The 22,651-nt window shown below is 38.7% G+C and overlaps 1 protein-coding gene across 49 annotated transcripts in view; it reads right to left on the bottom strand.

The window, feature by feature from the left end:
* Positions 1-22,651, bottom strand: part of PPFIBP1 (PPFIB scaffold protein 1) — a 171,359-nt gene that overhangs the window by 51,548 nt on the left and 97,160 nt on the right. For 47 of the 49 annotated variants that reach the window (XM_017020056.3, XM_047429753.1, XM_047429758.1 and 44 more), the window contains 2 exons: positions 10,557-10,655; positions 8,902-9,107 (listed from right to left, as the gene is read on the bottom strand). The exons of the other annotated variants lie outside the window; for them this stretch is intronic. In XM_017020056.3, the coding sequence (XP_016875545.1) occupies positions 8,902-9,107; positions 10,557-10,620 (270 nt within the window). In that variant the 5' untranslated portion in view covers positions 10,621-10,655. The remainder of the gene's footprint in view (positions 1-8,901; positions 9,108-10,556; positions 10,656-22,651) is intronic. 49 annotated transcript variants of the gene reach the window in all.

The raw sequence follows: 22,651 nt of genomic DNA, 5'->3' as shown, positions 1-22,651 counted from the left end.
GCTACTTTGTATGATATGGAAGTGAGGTGTTCCAAAACCAGTTCTCCAAAATTAGCCCCAAATAGAAACAGATACTGAAAATTGGCTCAAAATTAGCATATTTATTTTTCTCAGTACTGTATTGATATTTACAAGCACTCATAATGCTCAAGGGTAGTTTAGTATATTAAAAGTCACTATAGGAACATAAGGCAGAATTTAAGAGTGATCAATGTTATATCCTTGTGTTAACTTAAGTAGGTAAAGACTGTTCTGTCCACCTGTGTTTATATTTCTGCCAATTTTGTTTCCTTTGCATTAAGAATGTTGGCAGTAAGATCCATTAGGTAAATACCCTATTGTCTCTATTCTTCCTTCAACTCCCACGTTCTACCTACCAGGTCACTCAAAACCTCCCCATATATGGCATGCTCTTTCACACACTACTTTTATTCCTTCTGCACGGACCGTCTTTTCCCACCCTTTCTTCTTCTTTCCCCATTCCTTAAGGTCCACCTCTATCAGGGCTTGGTCTGTGAGGTCTTCCTTGAATTCACTGTTTGCTATATGCCAGCGACAGTATCTACATGAACCTTCATTACAGCAGGCATTACTCTGAATGCACTAAGGTTAGACTTGACTGCATACATGTCTCTCTCTTCTAATAGACTCTGCATTCTTTGCAAGTAGATTTGCCTTGGCATGTGACATACAGTGGGCGATAACTAAATGTCTGTTGAATGGAAGAATGACGATAGGTGTTCAATAAACACTAGTTGAATACAAGATGACTGCAGGTTTGGTTTTGATCTGCCCTTCTTGCTTCTCAGTGGGTCTTTATTTATGTGTCCTCTATAATCTGGTATGCACGCCATGGTTGACCTCTATCTAGACTGGCTCCTTTTTCCTCCTGTACTCTCTCTTCCCACTATGTTTAGGAGGTGATCTCAGAGCCTTTGTCAGCACCACGCTCTAACCAACTGAGCTAACCGACCGCCTGATCTCAGAGCCTTTGTAATGGACAATAGTTAAGGCCATCTTGTGTGAGCTCCCTTAGACACCTTCTTCCTCAGTGCGTAATAGTATAATATATATTACCTCTTATTTCTTTCCTTTCTTTCGTCCTGCAGGCTTGGGAGAACTGATTCTTAACTCCTTCCTGAAAGCTCATCATTCCACTTCTACTTTGGAACCTTGATTTCCTGTTTTGCTGGGACCTGTAATCACCACTTCTACTTATCATTTTCCATTTCTTCCTTTTAATGAGCTTTCTTCCATTTTCCTTTACAACAACTATCCCAAGGTTTTGTACCCAACACTCCACTCACCTCCCACTCCTCCCTCTCAGATCAATCTGTCTTTCATAACCCATGTCTACCTCCTCTTTACATGGTGCCATTCTCCTTTCCCCATCTACGGGCTGACCTTCTGGGTCTTGTCTTAAACTGTGCTCTTTAGTGTTTCATCATATTCTGCCTCAGGTAGATGACTAATAATTTTATGTGAGTTGGTCACTCAGCCTAAGTTTCTCAGTGCAAAACTGTCTTACGTTTCTTTTGATTCTTCCATGGTGCTTGTAAAATCCTGAGCACGTAACTTAAAATGTATTTAAGTATAAACTCTTGTTGAGTCGATCTGACTTCCACAGCATATTAGAGAAGCCTAAATCACTTTACCTTTCTACTTTAGCTCATGGTGCAACCCCTTATTGACCGCATTCAATCCAGCTAAGTCGAAATTGGAGTCAACTTGGGGACTTCAACAGTACAGTATCCAACCAATAGTGTGTATGCAGAGTCAGTGGGGGAGATATAACTCAACTGTAACATTGGTACTTTGATTTAATTAAGGAACTTATGGCCTCTGCCAGGTTTTCCTGGCACAATGGGGAGAAACACATCTAAAACGCTTTATCCCTCATAGAATTACAGAATCTTAGAGCTAGCCAGGAACCTCACCCGGAAAACGAATTCCCTGACTCTACATGGCAGGTGCTACACATAACATTAGAACACCATCTACTTTTCCCTTCACCATCTAAGTGGAAAGCCTTCTATTTATTTATTTATTTATTTATTTATTTATTTATTTTTGCAGTTGCAAGATTTAATATAGTGAAAACAGAGCTCCCATACAACGGGAGGGGACCCAAAGGGGGTTGCCACTGCCAGTTCGAATGCCTGGTTTATATCCCGATCATTGTCCCGCCCCCTGTGTTCTCAGGTGATAGATGATTTGATTATTTCTTTACCTCCTGCTTTTAGCCTAATTGGTATTTTAGTGAGCTCTCTTTACTACCTGATTGGTCGGGTGTGAGCTCAGTTACAAGCCCCGTATTTAGAGGTGGGTGTGGTCACCTTCCCCAGCTAGAAAGCCTTCTTTTTATATCAACTTCCTTTTAATTATGAAGTATTACAATCAAGCATAAAGACATAATAAATGTTAACATCTTTCCTTTGTGTCTGTTTAAAAAATGTTTTTTATTACAGAAAATTTCAAATAGATTTAAAGTAGAGAAATGCACGTGATGAAACCCCATGCACTTGCCATTCCATTTCAATAGTTATTACTTCACGGAAGGTAGGAGTCTCACCCACTGTTTTTACTTATAACATCATGCTGTGTTTTCCTTTGATTTTCTGGGTTCTATTGGTTTGCATTGGTCTACAGTTGTCTTTCCTGTTTCCCCTTTGTTTTGCTTTGTTCTTTCCTGAGCTCTGCTGTCCTGTCTAAATCCAAAATCAACATACAAGCAGTGATTTGCCACAATAATGCTTATTTATTTTATAAAACAGAAACTAATTTTGAGTGTAAGATTCCTAAATCAGAATGGTAAGTATCTAAATTAAAATGGGGAAAAGAAAACAGCCCCCTTTTTAAGGTCAACAAATGTTAAAGCATAGCTGGATTAGTAACACTGCATATACACAAATACACGCACACACCACATTCCAGCCAGTCATTATACTTATTTTTAAAACTAGTTATTAAAATTGTCACGCAGTCTTGATTTCATAACTCTGTTTTTAAACATTCAGGATCAAGAAAGGAAGAGTAAGGCTCAGTCCATGAAATCTCCTTTAAGTAAACATTATCTCTAGTTACCAAAAGAAATAATTACTATGACAGCATTTTGTACTCAGAATTATACCTCTGCCACGCATGCAAACATTTCCTGCATGCCTGCTCTCCACTAGACTCTGAACTATGAGGAGAGATTGAGATAAGACTTGAATCTTTCAGCCATGAAGAGCACAGTCATATTGCATTTGAGTTCAATACCATAATAAGGCATCTTACACCACTACTGTCCAAAGAGTCAAAGAACATGATATCAGTGATGCTGGAAACCAAGCAACCAGGCAGTGGCAGTACTCCGCTCCCCTGTCCTCTCACTGGGTGTGGTGGAATGAGGGCATGAGCTTCGCAGTGGGCAACCCGGGGGTGGGGGGCGGGTACATGTTTAGACTATAATATTACCCTAGTCATAGGTACACACCTAAGTCCCCTGAATTTGGGGAGGACAGAGAAAAAAGAAGTTCCCAGTGTTCCTAAAAGCGAAGCCCCAGCTCCTATCTCAGTATAGCAGCAACTTCATTCATTCAATATCGTGATTCACTCATTTATTCAATATTTGTTGAAAGCCAGCAATGTGTGACAGGATACGAAGATCTAGAGGAGGAATCTCTCTTCCACTTTGGGAAGGATAACATGAGACCAAGAAAAAGTCCCTATTGTTCTTGTCACATTTTCTTTCTTAACTCACTTTCCCAAAGGAACAGGGAAACCTCTTTCCCTTCAGTCCTAACAAATACCAGTGGCCTAGGATTCCATGAAAAGCACATCTTTTACCTCTGTAAACTAAGAATTCTGCCGATTTGATCAATTTGTTTTTCTGTGTCTGTGAACACTTTCTGTGGGAGTTTACTTGAAGACTAAGGGGAAAACTGCCTTAATTTTAGCTAGGATGTCTCAGTGAGGCACCGCATAACTCAGATAATTGTGATCACATATGGGATACAATCTTAAGATGTACCTTGTTTGCCAAGGCCTGAGAAAACATTTCCTGGAGGCACAGATGAAAAGCAAAGCTGGTCAGAAAGCAGCAGGGATCGGAGGGTGGTAGGACGGGGACTGCTTCGTGGGGCTGGGAGTCAGGGACTCAGGAAGAACAGCCAGCAGCCCTGCAGAGAGCATGTCCCGTGGCTGAACTCTTTTAAGTTATGAGTATTTTTATTTTTATAGCAACTTTTAAAAATATACATTTGGGATTAATATTATCTCACTTTTAATGTAAAAATAAGAGAGAAGGGTATTATGATGATTTAACAGGTCAGAAGCCAGTCCAGAACACCTCACTTCACCTGTTTACCTATCTCATGGGTGATGATGCCTGCTTTGGCGTTACTACCATTAGTATTCACCATTAGTATTTCACTCACTTTGTTGAAAATTGTATTTTTGTAATTTCTGCTGACTTTGAGATGGCCTCATAATTAAAACTGCCAAATAGCCAGACACCTTCGGGATTTCACCACCTGATCCTCTGTTGACATGGATCAAGGTCATGATCCTCAGTTAAAAAAACATTATAAGAATGTTCTAGGGCAACTCATCAAGTTAGACCTAAAGTAAGTAACTACTTGCTTAACTCAAACAATTAGACGTATTTTTCCATTTTCCTTCTTAAATCTGGAGCTTCATAAAGCAAGTAATTCTCCATTATTAATATCTGTGTTAACACATTATATTTCATAATTGAAACAGAAAATTCACCCTCAGTAATTAAACAAATATGTCATAGTCTACAGTTTTTTTTAACCACAGGAGACGCACTTCTGAATTTTAAAAGAAATTTGTTCATTTCCAGAAGCCTAGAGCTACACTAATAAATTCATTCTTATAGATTTAATGTCCCCTCACTGTAACAGGCTACTAGTGTTGGTATTTTATCACATTCAGTGTCTGATCATATGAAACAAACAGGCAGGAGCAATTAGCAGCAAAGAAATAACCTGCATCCTACAAGAAACCAGGGGATCTCCCTGGCCCAGGTAAAATGATAATTCCAACTGCAAATGCCCAGTTGCACTAATGAAAAGGTTAGTATCCATCTTAAAGTACAGGGCCTCTCAAGTTGGCCATCATTAAACATGAATGGAACCTTAATTATATGTCTGTTATTATTAACAGATACATAATTATTTCCAAAAATTTTTGAATTTAAGTTTTTCTAAAATATCCCAGAAGCTTCTCTTCAGTCAGAGGAATGTTTGTACTCTTTCATTGCAAGAAGTGAACTATGTATGGGTGGTTTGTAACCTAACTCCCATTGCAACTGGACCCAACTCCTTCCCTCATTGCAAAGGGTTGCTCTTAAACATTTTCCCTCTACTCTCTATGCTCTGCTCTTCAGTATTACCTTTCTGACAAGCCTTTGACCAGGCATATCAATAAGTGCTCAGCATATGTTAGTTCACAGGGTCCTTACAATCCTAAGTGGCAGTAACCATCATCCCCATTTTACAGACCAGAAAACCAAGACACAGAGCTTCAGACATTTTCACAAGGTCATATAAGCTTCAAAGACTTAGGGCCAACATTAAAATTCAGGTCTGCAGTCACTGCAGCCTGCATTTGAAACTGCCTAGATACAATCCTGCCTTATCATTCACTGCTTCCTTTTTTAAAACATCATAATCTCTTTTATTTGGGCAGTTTTCCCATGTTCAATATGAAGGGGGAATTTGCTAGGATTCTGTGTTCCTTAAATTCTAGGATGCTATCAATTTTAATTTTTTATTGTGGTAAAATATATATGTAAAATTTAGCATTTTAACCATTTTAAAGTGTACAGTTCAGTGGTAGTAAGTACATTTACATTGTTTTGCAGCCATCACCATCATCCATCTAATTAACTCTTTTCATCTAGCAAAACTGAAATTCTATGTGCAGTAAGTATTATCTTCCCATTCCCCACTCCCCTCAGCTCCTGGCAGTCACCCTTCTACTTTCTGTCTCTAAAATTTGACTATTCTAAGTACCTTATTAATAAAAAAAGGAAAGAAGGGAGAGAGGAAGGGAGGAAGGATCCGAGCTAAAATGTATACATATACCCATTTTAAGATCATAAAACACATCCCAACTTCTGAAATATTAAATTGGAAAAATTTAATATTATCAGCAAATTACTAAATTATAAGTATATAATCTTCTACTTGTTGGATTCCCAATGCTGGCCCAAGTTGCTTTTTGGTTCTAAAATAAAGTCTATCGTGGTAGGTGTGTGGTGACAACTTAATTTCACACCTATGCTTTTGTGGTTCCAAACAGCCAGCCCTCCTCTCTTCTTCTTGCTTTGTTTTTTGCCTTTTGCTGTCTTTCTTCTTTCATCCTGTCATTCTCTGTGTGCTTGAGAAAACACACTTAATTTGGAAGGTTGGGGGCAAGGTGAGGAATTCATATAGATAAGTTAGATGGATAAAAATAAATTTAGCAACAACAACAAAAATTCCTTATCTCTCTGGATCTACATCTAGTTTATTTTGTTATTGTTACTTTTAGGATAAAAACGGAATCTTCATTAGTTCTGTAAAATATTTGTCATTTTGTGGATTCTCAAGGTTAAAATGTCAAATAATAAGACACAAAGCAACTGAAAACACAGATCAACAAGCCATTACCCATCCAAAGAATAAATTTAAAACAACTTCCATTCATTCAAACATGCAATCCACTTTATCATTCATGGAGCATCATTCATTACAAATATAACTACTGAGCCAGGCATTCTTCTAAGCACCAGGGATACAGTAATTTTTTTAAAATAAGGGCAAAAATCTGATTCCTGATGCTTACATTCCAATTGGAAAGACAGAAAATAAATGATATAAACATCACAAACACATTGCACATAAGAAAATGGTGAATGCTAAGAACAAAATAAGCAGGGAGATGTAAGACAAGGAATAAATGGGTATAATTTTAGTTAGGGTGGTGATACAAGGCCTCACTGAGAGCATGACTTTTGAGTAAACACCAGGAGAATGTGAGGGAGCTAGCCATGCAAATATCTGGCGAAAGAGCTTTCCAGGCAGAGTGAAAAGCCAGTGCCTGGAAAAGCCAGTGCAAAGGCTCTGAGGCCAGTGTACCTGGCATGTTTAAGAATCAGTGAAAAAGCCACTGTGCTTGGCGTGGAGCGAATAAGGAGATGTGTGACAAGAGATGAAGTCAGAAAGTCATGGGGGGCAAATCCTACGAGGCCTTGCAGCCCACAGTAAGCACTGTGGTTTTTACTCTGAGTAAGATGTGATGCCACTGGTAGTTTCTGAAAAAAGGAGTGAGTGTCATGATCTAACTTATATTCAGATGTAACCATCATTACTTTTTATCATTTCTGAAAATACTTTCACAGAACAGATTAAGCACATGTTAATGGACATGTTTTAGACACATGTCAAAAGCTGAACTACAGGTACGCTTCGGCTACTATTGCCATTGGTGGCCTCTGGGTGTGGGATAGAAATACGTTCTTCTAACAATAGTAAATTCCTTTTTCACTGCATGCTAAATGGTCAGAAGAACATGGAGTAAAGAAGGGGTGAGATAGGACATTGAAATAGACTAAGGAATATGTCAGGAAACACCAAGTACAGAGCATGAAGCAATCCCCAAAGAAATCAGCAAACCTGGACCCTTAAGTCTCTGGAGGAGAAATCTGTAGAGCAAATAGAAAGTATAATAGTAAGGCATTATGTGTTTTAACAAGTAAAATAACTCCAGTTTGTGTAGCTGCACCCCCACTAAAGGATAGATTGTACTATTCGCTCTCAGAAACGCAGAGGTAAACCAGGTGGGAACACAGAGTATTCAGCACAGGACTGGCTGGGAGCTCTAATATTTGTGTCACATCATATGAAAATGTTTTAGCTGTAGGATGTACTCTTAAGGTTCCCAAAGCAAGCGGTTTTCATGTCTACCACAGATCATAAAGTAGATCACGATTCTTTCATACAATTCTTATTAGCTTTTATATCAACACAGTTAACTCATAAGCATATGAGTGCATCTTACTGAAAATTGAATATCCTTTAAGCACAAAATATCTCCTTTCCTCTGTCCTCCACTGAATCTGTTTTTGTGACATTCTTTAGATTTTATGTATTCATCACAGATTAAAACCACAGTATTTCCAACCGTGCCCAGACAAAGGGTAGCTCTGCCACATCTTCAATTTTTGAGAAGGATGCCTAGAAAGCGGCCTCATTGTTCAGTGAGTAACACCATTAACCCATTTATGCTGGAGGTTGTGATTTTTTTTTTTTAAATGAGACCTTGGCGATGACTTTGAGCAGGATATAAATAACTCCCACAAGCTTAGCGTTCCAATAATGGAACACTGCGCATAAATGGGTTAAAGGCCCAACTCCACAATTTAATTCGGGAACTGGAACTGAAATGATTGCCATAAACCACTAGATGGCACTTCCGGTCAAATACTGCTGTAAATCCTGTTGCTTTTTGAAAGTCTTTCATCATGCTTTCCATTTAGAATTGCTATTGGATCCTTTATGGTGAATAACCCAATATGACTGAGAAATCATCTATCATGTGCAAGATTCTTTCCCTTACAGGACTATTTGATTTAAGCCACAGTAGGTCATTCAGGCACAATCTAAAAGCCAGTCTGTTTTTATGGGCAGAATCAGGTGACCTGTTGTTGGTATTTACAAAATGTACACTAATAGCACTTTTTAAAAAGTTATCCTTAGAGTCAAAAGAAAATTAAGATATCTTAAGTAATAAAATCGGAGCACATGTGTTGCCCTAAACTTTTCTTGTTCTAATCAGCTATTCTATGTTCTAAATTTTGGAATAAGCAACAAAGGATTTATAACAGAATTTGGAACAGGCAGACCCTACCATTTGACTCTGAAGCCATTCAACAAGCGTTTCTGCTGTTGAATCTGGGATCTGGCATCTCAAGCCTTCTTTCTCATCTGTTTCCATCATCTCTAACAATCCACGCAGGTCTTCCACAAGGTGCAGAGCTCGCAAACTTCCCATGAATGGAGAGGTGGGAGATTGGCAATCAAAAATCCCATTGGAATATTCCAGAGCCTTAGAACCTAAGTTAAACAAAATCACAGAGAGAGCAATGGGATTTATGTTAGATAAAAATACCAAAGCCGAAGGCGGTAAACCAGTCTAGTCACAGTAAGGAACAATCAAAAGAAACAGAAAAAAGAGAATTCAATCACATAAATCTCTCCAAGTCAGAGTTACATGGTGCAAAAATTAAAACCATGTAGTTAGTGGTAAATATCCATGGTCCAGTTCGTAACTAGGAGGCCAATCATGGGGTATAGAAAGAAAAAGAGCCTGGTGGGCTTTGGTGTGAGGTGTGCTGGCCTCATGAAGATGATGGATAAGAAAGTGGCAGATCAGAAAATACAAATATTAGACCTGGTCCATTCCGGACCAATATTGGACCAAATGATTTCTGGCTTAGAAAAACTGTGGATGAAGGGTTATGAAATGAACCCAGATGAAGACTATCAGAGTAAATTCTGAGGAAAGATAATGAGCTCAATGCATTAAATGATTATACTGGTGTGCCCATAGGACATTTCTGGACAGATATCTGGTTGGAAATTAGAGATAGGAACTGGAAGCTTAGCAAAGAATTGGGAAGGTAAACACATGCGAACGAGCTAAGTGCAGTGGCGTGTGCCTGTAATCGCAGGTACTTGAGGTGTGAAGATTGCTTGAGCACAGCATTTCAAGGCTGCACTATGCATGTTATTCACAGGTAATCATGCCTGTAAATAGCCACTACACTTCAGCTTGAGAAACATAGCAAGACTTCCTCTCTTAAAAAAAAAAAAAAAAAAAAAAAGATATGGCCGGGTACGGTGGCTCACGCCTGTAATCCCAGCACTTTGGGAGGCCGACATGAGTGGATCACGAGGTCAGGAGTTTAAGACCAGCCTGGCCAAGATGGTGAAACCCTGTCTCTACTAAAAATACAAAAATTAGCCAGGCGTGGTGGTGGGTGCCTGTAATCCCAGCTACTTGGGAGGCTGAGGCAGAGAACTGCTTGAACCCAGGAGGCGGAGGTTGCAGTGAGCTGAGATTGTACCACTGCACTCCAGCCTGGGCAACAGAGAGAGACTCCATCTCAAAAAAAAAAAAAAAAAAAAGATACGGGAGTCATTGGTGGAAAGTGAATTTTGAATTCAAGAAAACAGATCAGAACATTCATGTTCACTGGGTAGAGAAGTGTCCCTCAAAGTATGGTCCACAGACCACCTACACCAGAATCACCTGAGATGCAGATTCTTTATCCTTGATTAGAAACCTAGGATGGAACTGAAATTTTTGATACTTTAAAATAATGTTTGAGAATAATGCTGGCAGAAAATGGAGAAGAGGAACAAAGATGAAATTACAGGGAAGCAAAAGGCATAGGTCTAAAAAATGAAAATAAAGTGAAAAGATAATATGAAAGTTGTAGTGAAAAAGCCAAGTGAGGAGAGTAAATGTTGTGATTCTGTCTTTCACAGGATGCAGATCACCTGCTATGATACCATCCATCTGCTCCAACGCTGCAGCCAACATGTCACTTGCATCACTCATCATTTTATTATTTGTCAGGGGCAAATTCCAACCCAGATCTGAAAAAAAATAAGGTTATCATTACATCCATTAAATGACATAGGCTTGCTAGTGGGTTTCTAATTCACCTTCAAATGATAACTCTGCTGTGTAGTCAAATATGGAAGAAGAACTTCAGTAGTGGAGTAGCAAGCTGTGGCCAATCACCTACTGTAGCACAAGACCACATGCGATACCTGTATCAGTTAATAAAGAAGATTCCATTCTTGCACTTGAGGTGTTTAAAATCCACTAGCATGGTTTCCATGCTGTTCTCTAGAACTCTAGGCCTCTGTAAAGGGCAACAGGGATGGCCATGGAAGCTTGCTGAGGGCCATGACAAGCACTGGCCAGACAAGACTCCTTTCTCCCTTTACCAGCCCCACCCAATCTCTGCTCTCTTAATTTCATTTATTTTTGTTTGTTTTTGTTTTTTCTTTCTGTACAAGGGCTTAAGATTTGTCTAAGAAAAGGATTCACTAACACATATACTAAATGTATGTGCACACACACACAAACACACACATACACCCCTACTGATACTAAACATTTTGTAGTGGAGCCATAGCTATCACATATTGAGTGCCTATAGTGTTTCCTACACATTTACATAAATTATCCATAATCCTTAGTCAACAGCTCTATAAAATGTGTAAATTCATCTCCATTTTATAAATGAGGATAAAAGATGTTTGATTTTTGCATGGAAACACAGCAAAGTAAATATAGCGAAGTTCAGTTTCTAACCTAGGTCTGTCTAACTTCCACTATAATACATAATTTCTGTTTACCTGATCCTATCTGAAGATGGGTTTATCCTGAAATTACATCACAATCTACTCATTGGTTTATCTGTTAAAAGATATATTGAGATAATGCTTGCAAAAACTTTGGTCATTGGCAGGAAAAAGTCAAGATAATGTGATTTTCAGCATTCATTAATGCATTTCAGGTACCAGACTAAGCACCCAGTAGATTCTCCCAATAGACCCGAATAAAGCTCTTACTATGTTATAGATACTGTGATAGAGCAAATACCTGGGAAATAAAGGGCATGCTGTTTCCCAGAAACCTTTGCCCTCTGTTTCCAAGCAGCCAAATCTCACCACTTTATTTTCACAAATATATTTATAGTTCCGGTATCAACTCCTTGGATGAGTTCCCAATTATGCATTCATTCTAACATAATGCCATATAATTGTTGTAAAATATTATTTTGATTTAAAGTCATTTCACCTAAGGATTTTCCAGAACTTTACTCACTTCCAAAGGTGAAAAATATCACTACCATTTATCTGGAAATACTACAGCATGAAAATACTCAAGGTATGTGTCTATGGTTACCCAGGAAACAAGGAATCAACAAGTTAGGTTATGAACCTAGGTCATTCCAAAAAATTTATTCACACACTCAGCCAGTGCACCATCCAAAGAAGCAGGACACATATTTAATAACCACTTATATATGTGTCTATATAAAACAAAGAGACACATACCAGGCTCAGCTATAAACATGGGAATACCAATAACACAAAGTAATGCCCATGTTAGAAAAACATATCATCTCACTAAATTAGAAAAAAATATTCGTCTTTGTTAGCAACTATATTTTGTGTAGAGCATAAACAGTTCAAGTCCGATAGGTACAATAGTTACCGAGTTCTTCTCTGTTCTATTTAATGAGCCTTTCAAATGCTATTATATGAAGGTATGAGACAATCTAGACCATGCTTTTCAAAGTAGTGAAGAACTAGTTCTTTAAAAATTTCCAATTCATTGGAGACGAATCCCTTCATTTAATAAAAATATGATGACAATGTTAAATTGCTATGAAAGTTCAAAACGTTAACTTTTAATCTCTATATCATGTAGCAGCCTACATGTACTAGTCAGGGAAAGACAGTACATACAAGTAATAAACACATATGTAACATGGCGAAGGTGGTAGGTGCTAAGGGGAAAAATGGAGTAGGATAAGGGGGTCCAATTTGGAAGGCTTTGCAAATTAAACAGGTAGCCAGGGACTGGCATTAGAATCAAAGGCCAAAGACTTCTCTAATAAGTTAAAAGTAGTCAAATCAAAATCGTCCAGTTCAGTGGTATTCCAAGTGTAGAATTCCTAGAAATCAATGAAAAAATAGGAGGCATGAGGATATGAACAATCATTTGGCAGAAATGTTTTCAACCAATAAAAATATGAAAAGCTGCTTAGTATCAGTAATAAATGAGGAGTATAAAGGAATGTGATAATGTTTTATAACCAATTAGTGAAAAAAATTGACATAGCCAAGTGTTGTGGAGAATATGAATTCATAGAACCTTTACTTTTTGTTTGTTTTTTGAGACAAGGTCTCACTATGTTGCCAGTTGACTGGTCTTGAATTCCTGGGCTCCTACAACCCTGCAGACTCAGCCACGATTTTATTAAATCCAAAGGCAGTAATGAAGGAACAATGGACACATAGGAGAAAGAAAAATCAATAGCCAAAGTGGTAGACTTAAACTGAAGCATATAAATAATCGTATTAAGTGTTGTGTAAGTTGGAGTAAGCCATGGGTATGCAAAGGCATACAAAGTGGTATATAACAGCAGAGACTCAGAAGCAGGAAGAGTGAGAGGGAGGTGAGGATGAAAATAGGTACAATGTACACTATTCAGGTGACAGAAGCACTAAAATCCCAGACTTCCGCTATACAATTCATCATGTAACTGAAAACCACTTGTACCCCTAAAGCTACTGAAATATAACAATTTTTTAAAATAACATTTTTAAAATTACATTAAGTACAAATGCAGTAAACGCTGATAAGAGCCAGAGATCATCAGATTAGTTTTTTAAGTCCTAATTATGTGCTGTTAATAGAGACTTTAAATATAAAGAAATATAATAGTAAAAGGATGAAAAATGAGATAACATACATATGTAAGCACAGGAAAGCAGGAGCGGGTTTATTTAAAAACTACACATCAGGAAGTATGACTAGAAAGAAAGATATTTTACAATGATAAGTGTTAATTCATCAGGAAGTCATAACAAGCACAAATGTTTTTGCAACTAATAACAAAGCTTCCAAATACATGAAGCAAAAACTGATGGTGTTAAGGGAGAATTAGACAAATTTAATCCACTTATATTTAACATAATATAGATATGGTTGACCTGGTTGGATTTAAATCTACTGATAAGGTTGGATTTAAGTCTATTGTCCTGCTATTTCTTTTCTGTTTGTCCCATCTATCATTTGTTCTTTTACAACCTTCTTTAGAATTGACAGGTAAGGTAGGAAAAAAAACTCAGTAACACACAAGATTTGAAAATATTATCAACCATCTTGATCAAATTCAATTTATAGAACAAAACACACAAATGCAGAATATACATTCAAGTCTACAAGTTATATTCACCAGGATAAGGCATATATGCAAGGCCACAGAATCAGTTTCGATAAATTTCAAATGGGTTTTAAAGAACTACACAGAAGAGTAAGAAACACACAACCTGAAGTGGTGAAGTACTAAGAATAGACCATCCATATTTATTAAAATTCTGCCTTGCCCATGGTTTGAGCTATTTTAGAGGCAGCCTAATTTATCAGGCATCTGTGTTGACAAAGCTATGTTAATTTTCAGGGCTAGGTCAACGTATTTTTAAAAATGAAAAGGCTAAATAAAAAAGCTTTAGAAAATCCCCTGGTCTCTAAAAAGACTTTCTTAAGTCCTCATAAATATTTCTGAGAGGAAGATTCCCTGGGCTTCCTCACATAATTAATATAATGAAATATTATTCTAATACAATGGAATATTATTCTACAGTAGAGAGATGGAACAAATAATACATGCAACATTATGTTGGGCAAAAGAAGCCAGACAGAAAGGACCATGTACTGTATGATACTTTTATATGAAATTCAAGAACAGGTAACCTACGATAGAAGGTAGAGCAATAATTACTTACAGAAAATGGTGAGTGACTGAAAGGAGACACCAGTGGAATTTCTGGTCAGTATCTTGATTGAGATATAGGTTACACAAGTTTATACATTTGCCAAAACTCATCAAACTATGCAATGGTCTTTAAAGCTTGTCAGGCATAAAGAATCCCAATGTCAATCCCATTTAAGTTCTTTATTTTAACTGGGAAGGAACCACTCATTGTTGGCTAAATGTTGAAAGCATAAAATTCATTTAGAACTAATTTAATTGGGAATGCCTTTGAAACAGATGAATTAATAATACCGTTTAGCTTCTAACTGAGGCAGATGTAATTGGTGCCCTCTGTAATTCCATGCATGCCAGCCCAACTTTTAACTGTCCAAGATTTCAGGGAGCCCTCTGCCATTGGATGTGGTGGTCTGAAAATGCTAGAGAATTAATGTCCCTTTAATATTTAAAGTTATCAGCTTTAAATACTCCAGCACACTTTCCCCCTAGAAAGAGCAAATTCTGATTCATGTAATCTACATTGGTTCCCAGAATTATCCAGACAATTAAGATCTACTCAGAGTGGTAACTTGTTTGATAATGCATGATTTATCAGTTCTCTTCTTTATTTCTCTAAGTCTTTCCTAGGATCACTTTCCAAATAAAACTTTGGTATTTGAAAAATTAGGAAAGAGAAGTTGGTTGTTAGAAATTAGAAATAAAAATTCCACTTTAAAAAAGAACTAAATAATGAATGAAGTTGGACATGCATGGACCTCTGCATCTAAGACTATGATGATAATATGTCATGAATCAAGGATCATGAATAATCCAATTATATGAACCTATGGTCCAAAATAAAAGGCTCAGAATATCCAGCTCCATTTCTTCCCATTCTTTGCTTACCCAGAAATCTGCTAGTTATAGTTGAGTTCTTTGGGTGGACAAAACCCCTTAGAAAATTACAACTTCACCATCCAAGGCCAAGCACAGTGACTCACACCTGTAATCCCACTACTTTGGGAGGCCAAGGCAGGAGGGTCGCTAGAGCCCAGGAGTTTGAGACAAGCCTGGGCCACATAGTGAGACCCTGTCTCTACAAAAAATTGTACAAAATATGCTGGGTGTGGTGGCATGTGCCTGTAGTTCCAGCTGCTCAGGAGGCTGAGGTGGATCACTTGAGCCCAGGAGCCCAAGGCTGCAGTGAGCTGTGATTGTGCCACTGCACTCTAGCCTGGGTGATAAAGAACCTGTCTCAAAAGTAAAGAAAAAAAATCCTAAAGAACAAAAAAATTCACCATCCAATAATTCTCACAAAATAGCAAATTTATTTCTGGATTCTAAGTGGCTAATATATGCTTCTTTGAATGACTTGCTAAAGAAAAAGGTACCAGGAAATACATTAATCACTACCACAACAAAGGAGTGAAGCTGGGGTTCAAAGTCATAGTTCAAACTGGAGAAGCCTCTTATTTGTTGGGTGATGTAAACAGAGAAATGAGCTCCGTTTGCAGGAGTTCTTGGGCTACTGGTTTCCTATTCCAATGGCTTAATAAAAATAAATGTAGGAAAGTTTTAGATAAGCAAGCTCTTGGGGATAAGATTCAAATATTATAGTAAGAGACTAAACCGGGGCGGGGGGTGGGTAACCAACAGAAATATGTTCAGGGTATATTTCAAGTTTGGTCAGGACCCATTTAGAGCAGATTTGAATGGGGTAAAATATCAAGGAAAGTTCCGGGCATGGATGTGGTGGCTAAAGCATTGGCAGGACACCATAATTTTTTGCACGGTTGCTGACTAACTGATGTTTTAGGTCAGGCTCACTGCCCAGTCTTCCTGTGAAGAAAAGAAAGGCCATAAGAAAATTAGCAAGTTTCTTTTAAATTTTTGTGAGAATAACATTTGTCCTAGCTTTCTCAGCTTTCTTTAGGTAAAATGCTTGGGCTTGAAAGAGAACCCTGAACTTCTTACCCAAGATAGATACAATTCACTGAGACTAAGACACTTGAAAGAAGGAATCTTCAGAGAAAGGGAGAATGTTCACATACATTCGACTATGCTGGTAGAACGCCACAGTATTCTGTGGTCATTATGAAAATAGAATATGTTTTCACACAAATTACTCATACCTTTCTCAACAGTTTAGTTTTTTTATTTTTTTTCTGCCAAGAAGCTGTCTCAGAAGGTTAATCAATTACGCAATGATTGCCAATGTGTGCAGCAATACAATCTCAGCAAAGAGAAACTATCTTAAAAACAGAGACATCATATTTGCTAGCACAACAGGGTGACAACTGTCAACAATAATTTACTGTACATTTATAAATAACTAAAAGAATTGGAATGTCTGTAACACAAAGAAATGACAGATGCTTGAGGTGATAGATACCCCATTTACCCTGATGTGATTATTATGTGATGTATGCCTGTATCAAAATATCTCATGTACCCCATAAAGGCACATACCTACTATGTACTCATAAAAATTAATTTAAAACAAAACCCAAACCAGATCTAAAGGGAGAAACAGGTACTAGTTCAGTGGTTTGGAACAGCAGCATCACCTGTGAGCTAGTAAGAAATGCAAATCCTGCCAGACATGGTGGCTCACGCCTGTAATCCCAGCACTTTGGGAAGCTGAGGTGGGCAGACCACTTGAGGTCAGGAGTCGGAGACCAGCCTGGCCAACATGGTGAAATCCCACCTCTACTAAAAATAAAAAATTAGCTGGGTGTGGTGGTGTGAGCCTGTAGTCCCAGCTACTGGAGATGCTGAGGCAGGAGAATTGCTTGAACCCAGGAGGCAGAGGTTGCAGTGAGCCAAGATCGCACCACTGCACTCCAGCCTGGGCGATAGAGTGAGACTCCATCTCAAAAAAAAAAAGAAATGCAAATCCCTAGACCCCACCCTAGGTCTACTGAATCAGAAACACCAGAGGCAGGCCCAGCAATCGGTGTTTTTCCAAGCCCTCCCACTGGCTCTGAGGCGCACTCAATCACTAGACTCACACACACTGAGGCCTGTCTTTCCTCCTTGGGACAACAAGCCCTGCCCAGATGAGGTGGGAATTGGCTGACAAGGTAAATAAGGGCAGAATTCCTCTCCCCACGCCTCAGCTTCTTACTTTACATCCAAAAATAACAGCTCCGAAGAAGCCATTCAGGTTTTAATTCAAAAAACCTCTCCCTTTAAACCTCAACCACTATAGGTACTTATGCGTGCAACATTTTAGAGATTCTTAAATACAACCCTCCTTGTTTTCTGTTTCTCTGCTCTGTATCTGTCATCACATGTTTTTTTCCTCCCCAATCTATTAGCCCTTCTCACCACCAATCTGCTCTAACATCCCTAGAAAATTAATTCAGAATCACTTGGAAAGGGCAAAACAAGGGCAGGGGAGGTGGCGAAACCAGAAAAGGTAGGGGATGTTGGCAGCAGGGGCGATATCTAATGTTACAATACTTTTTTTAAAAAATGGGGTCTGGCTATATTGCCCAGGCTAGCCTCAAACTCCTGGGCTTAAGTGATCCTCCCACCTTAGCCCCTCCTGAGGAGGCTTCAAACTGTAAAATAAGGCCAGGCGCAGTGGCTCACCCTGTAATCCCAGCACTTTGGGAGGCCAAGGCGGGCAGATCACTTGAGGTCAGGAGTTCGAGACCAGCCTGGCCAACATGGGGAAACTCTATCTCTACTAAAAATACAAAAATTAGCTGGGCATAGTGGTATGTGCCTGTAGTCCCAGCTACTCGGGAGGCTAAGGCAGGAGAATCACTTGAACCTGGGAGGCTGAGATTGCAGTGGGCTGAGATTGGAGTGCCACTGCACTCCAACCTGGGCGACAGAGCAAGACTCTGTCTCCAAAAAAAAAAAAAAAAACTGTAAAAAACTGTAAAATAAGTATAGAATGGATGATATAACTGGAAATTTGAACAGTGTGTATTTGATATTAAGGACTTACTGTCATTCTAAGGTTATTAATAATGCTATTATACTTATCTTTTTTGAGTCCTTATTTTTTAGAGACAAGTTACAAAATACTCATGGATAAAATGATACAACATTTGGAATTTGCTTTAAAATAAAATAGAATAAAATAAGGGTAAAGATATTAATAAAACAAGATTAGCCATAAGTTGATAATTGTTGAAAATGGGTGGTGGTATGTAGGGGTACACTATACTATTCTATCCATCTATACAAATATTTTTTGAAACAGTCTCATTTTATCGCCCAGGCTGGAGTGCAGTGGCGCAAACATGGCTCACTGCAGCCTCAACCTCTCTGGGCTCAAGCAATCCCCCCATCTCAGCCTCCCTAGTAGCTGGGACTACCACACCTGGCTTATTTTTGTAGAGACAGGGTTTCGCCATGTTGCCCAGGCTGGTCTTGAACTCCTGGGCTCAAGCAATTTGCTCACCTCAGCCTCCAAAAGTACTGGGAGTAGAGGTGTGAGCCACTGCACCCAGTTGGGTATCCTATCTATATTTTTATATATTTGAAGCTTTCCATAATAAAACGTTTCAGTTTTTTCATCCATGTATTTAAACCACAAAATTTTCAACACCTTCAACCATGACATATTGTCTTAGATATTTTATTTCTCTATCATAACCTCAAGCATACTAAGGGCTCACCAAATATTTATAAACCAAATAATAAAACACTTGTTACTTTAACCACCCTCACAAATACAAACACACACATGCACACGCTATTCAGGAAATGGAACAGCCACTCACAGAGGATTGTAAGGCAGAGTACAAAAGAGGGCGTATTAATGACAATACATTAGTAAAAGTTACTTCTCTTGTTCACTAAAATGAAACGCCACAAAATACAAAGAGGCAAAGCTAGTAAGTAATCAAGTAAATGAAGCAGCAAGGGAAAATAGGATGAGGTAAAAGGAAATGAGCCTTCTGGCTCTCTGCTATTAATGCTTAGGAATAACCAGAAGAGAGTTGATGAAAAGTTTCATACAATAAGCCAAGATCTTTTACTTCTCGAATAAAGGATGCTGCTGCTATTGAAAAACTGATGTGTATTAAATGTCAGTAGATTTGAAGATCTTGTGATAAGTTGTGACAAGTTGAAAGAAAGCTGCAATTCTCCATATCTACTCTTACTAGCTATTGTTATGACTACACGGAGGAGTTAGGAATTTGTTCAAGGTCACTGAATAAGTGAGATTTGAGTCTAAAAGCCATATTGTTCCCACATATGCCTCTCACTCATTTGGTAGTTTCTAATCCAAACCATAAACTATGTACAGGACTGCCGGCCTCCCACCATACTGCAAAGACATGCCCTCCTTAGAAGACACTTCTGCCCTCTCACCTCTGTGCCATGACATGCACTGATCCCCCTACTGCTTGGACCCTCTTCTTTGTCCTGGGACACATGTTTTTCAAGGTGGGTCATGCATTCTTTCCTCCAAGGCCAGCCTGACCGCCACCTCCATGACAGCCCTGATTTTACAGTGATTGTCTCCTGGATGAAGCTGTGTGCTCCTTGAAAACAGACTGTATTTCTGCTATCTGCTCCGCATCTTCTAGTGTGGTGGACACCAAATGCTTGCTGTGTGCAGCTATGACTCAGTGGCTCCGCAAACACACACACACTCTGATGTCTTAAGTATCCTGGCTCCCATATGCCCTGTTTTGGCTGATAATATCACCTTCCTCTTAGCTGCATAAGCCAGAAAACTACATCTTGACCTTTACTTGTTTTTTTGTTTGTTTTGTTTTTTTTGAGACAAGGTCTTGGCTCTGTCACACAGGATGGAGTGCAGTGGCATGATCGCGGCTCACTGCAGCCTTGACCTTCTGGGCTCAAGTGATCCTCCCACCTCAGCCTCCCCACTAGCTGGGACCACAGGTGGGTGCGACCATACTCAGCTGATTTTTAAAATTTTTATTTTTAGTAGAGGCCAGGTCTCGCTATATAGCTCAGGCTGGTCTCACACTCCTGAGCTCAAGCAATCCTTTCCCCCTTGGCTTCCCAAAGTGCTGGGGTTACAGATGTGAGACACTGCACCGAGCCATGACCTTAAATTTTAAGATACATTTAGATAAATGCGATCATTATTATTAGCCTTGCTATCCACAATCTTAAAAACTGAAATTTCATGCTCTTTGAGATGTAGGCGAATCAAATTCATTGTACTATTTTGGAATGACATTATTCCTAAGAGTTTGCAAACTTAGTCCCCAGTATTATGGAGGAGTATCAGCGGGTCTGTTTCAACTTGTTATTGCTCTACCCACTCTAACTCTAACCTCATTCTTCCCTTCTTTTTAACTCTTTAAAACCTGGAGACTCATCTATCTCTATTTTCCTTCACAGGCCTACCAACCTAATGTATGCAGGCTACATGGACTGCTTCCTAGATATAAGCAGTTCTGGGATATGTATACCCATAGGAAGACAGGAGTGAGCAACAGCTACTCAAAGTTGTGAAGAAGAAAAGAATAATAAATTCCTATACATGAGCACCTTCTAAAGGAATGTTTTATAAACCATGGGTCACGACTCCTAAAATTAGAATGTACTGAAATAGAATTATTAGACTAAAATCAGTATTTCTTTTTATTAAATAGACAACAAAAGGCTATTTCATCAGGAGTAAAGGTTAAGCATTATCGTGTGAAAATTTTGATTTGATTATTCAGACACACACATACACACACACATACCTGCAACAAATATTGATTGAGGGCCTCCTATGCGCCAGGTATTAGACGCAGAACAGTGAAAAAGACCAAGAAAAGCGAAGCTCTGCCCTTAGGGGGCTGACATTCCAGTGGTTTCAGAGTATGTGCGTGTGTGTGTCTGCACAGGTGTCTACACATTCATGTGTTTTACAGCCTACGAATGCATACTTTATACTGGGTTAAAAACGTTTGAAAACCACTGGAGTGAAAACCACTGAAGTGGCATTGCTTAGAATATGGTCTGTGGACTGGAGCTGGTGCACAAACTGTTACCGGTCTACTGTAAGTACAGAAATTGAGAATAAATGTTTTAAAAATTACATCGCAACTTGGCCTTGCTGTGATATCCAATTATGTGATAATTCTGCTGGCAACTCAATTTTCTTTTTAAATTGAATTTTAGAAAATGAATCAATTCATGATGGAAAAACAAAATGGTCTTTCCCAAGAGATGGTTTGAGCAGCACTGCTCTGGGGGGGCAAACTGGCCAGGTGTCTTGGGAGTAGGTTACATCACACTCTGATTGGAAACTGCAGCCCTGGACCACAGCTGTAAAAAGGTGCAACACAGGGAGCAAGAAAACCCCAACAAATGGGGAGGATGGTCCAGGTCTGTTCTCTTTCCACACATATAAAATGATGAAGACAATTAAACGGCAAGTGGAAAACTGTTAGCACCGACAATAAGGATGGGCTGCTAAGTTCAGAAGAGGTGACACAAAAACCATTTCTGGTTGCGTCAAATTCACATCAGTTGCAGTCACGTAGTTGGACTGCTTATATGTCTAATCACAATGGATCATATCAGCAAAATGAGTCTAATTTCAGGTCTGCTTTAATTACAACAATAAAAGCTATATATTTTGTGTTAAAGTTTCAGTTTGTCACATGGTCAAAAACTCACTGCATTAAAAAGCTGCAAGAACTTGTGAGCACATAAAATCGATTGGGAAGAGTGGTAAAAACTGTGGGCAAGGAAACAGTTTTGTGGAGGAATAAGTTTTTATAAATAATCTTATAAACTCAACAGTTTGTCTTGTAGGTAATTTCTGTTGGTTTCTATTCCAACTGGGTGTCAGTTACACTCTTGGCCATACAGTAAGAGGAATGCCAACACTGCTTGTTCCTTTATAGCATACGTGCTCCTGGCCAGAATTACCAGTTTTCGGCTGTGGGAGAAGAGAAATGAAAACCAGAGCCCTGAAACTTCAAAATATATTCTTAACATTGTTATTTCCTATTACAATATTAAGAGACATATGGAAAATTTGTACAATTAACGAATACTGAGCCAAATACTAAGGGGTAATGTAATGCTTTTCAAATTATTCATATTTCAGTTCTGAGTGAATAGCACTAATTGCTGGCTGAAGGGAGGAGT

Source organism: Homo sapiens, chromosome 12 (genome assembly GCF_000001405.40).
Source record: "Homo sapiens chromosome 12, GRCh38.p14 Primary Assembly".
NCBI classification, from domain to species: Eukaryota; Metazoa; Chordata; class Mammalia; order Primates; family Hominidae; genus Homo; species Homo sapiens.
This window is presented reverse-complemented; position numbering and strand designations above follow the sequence as displayed.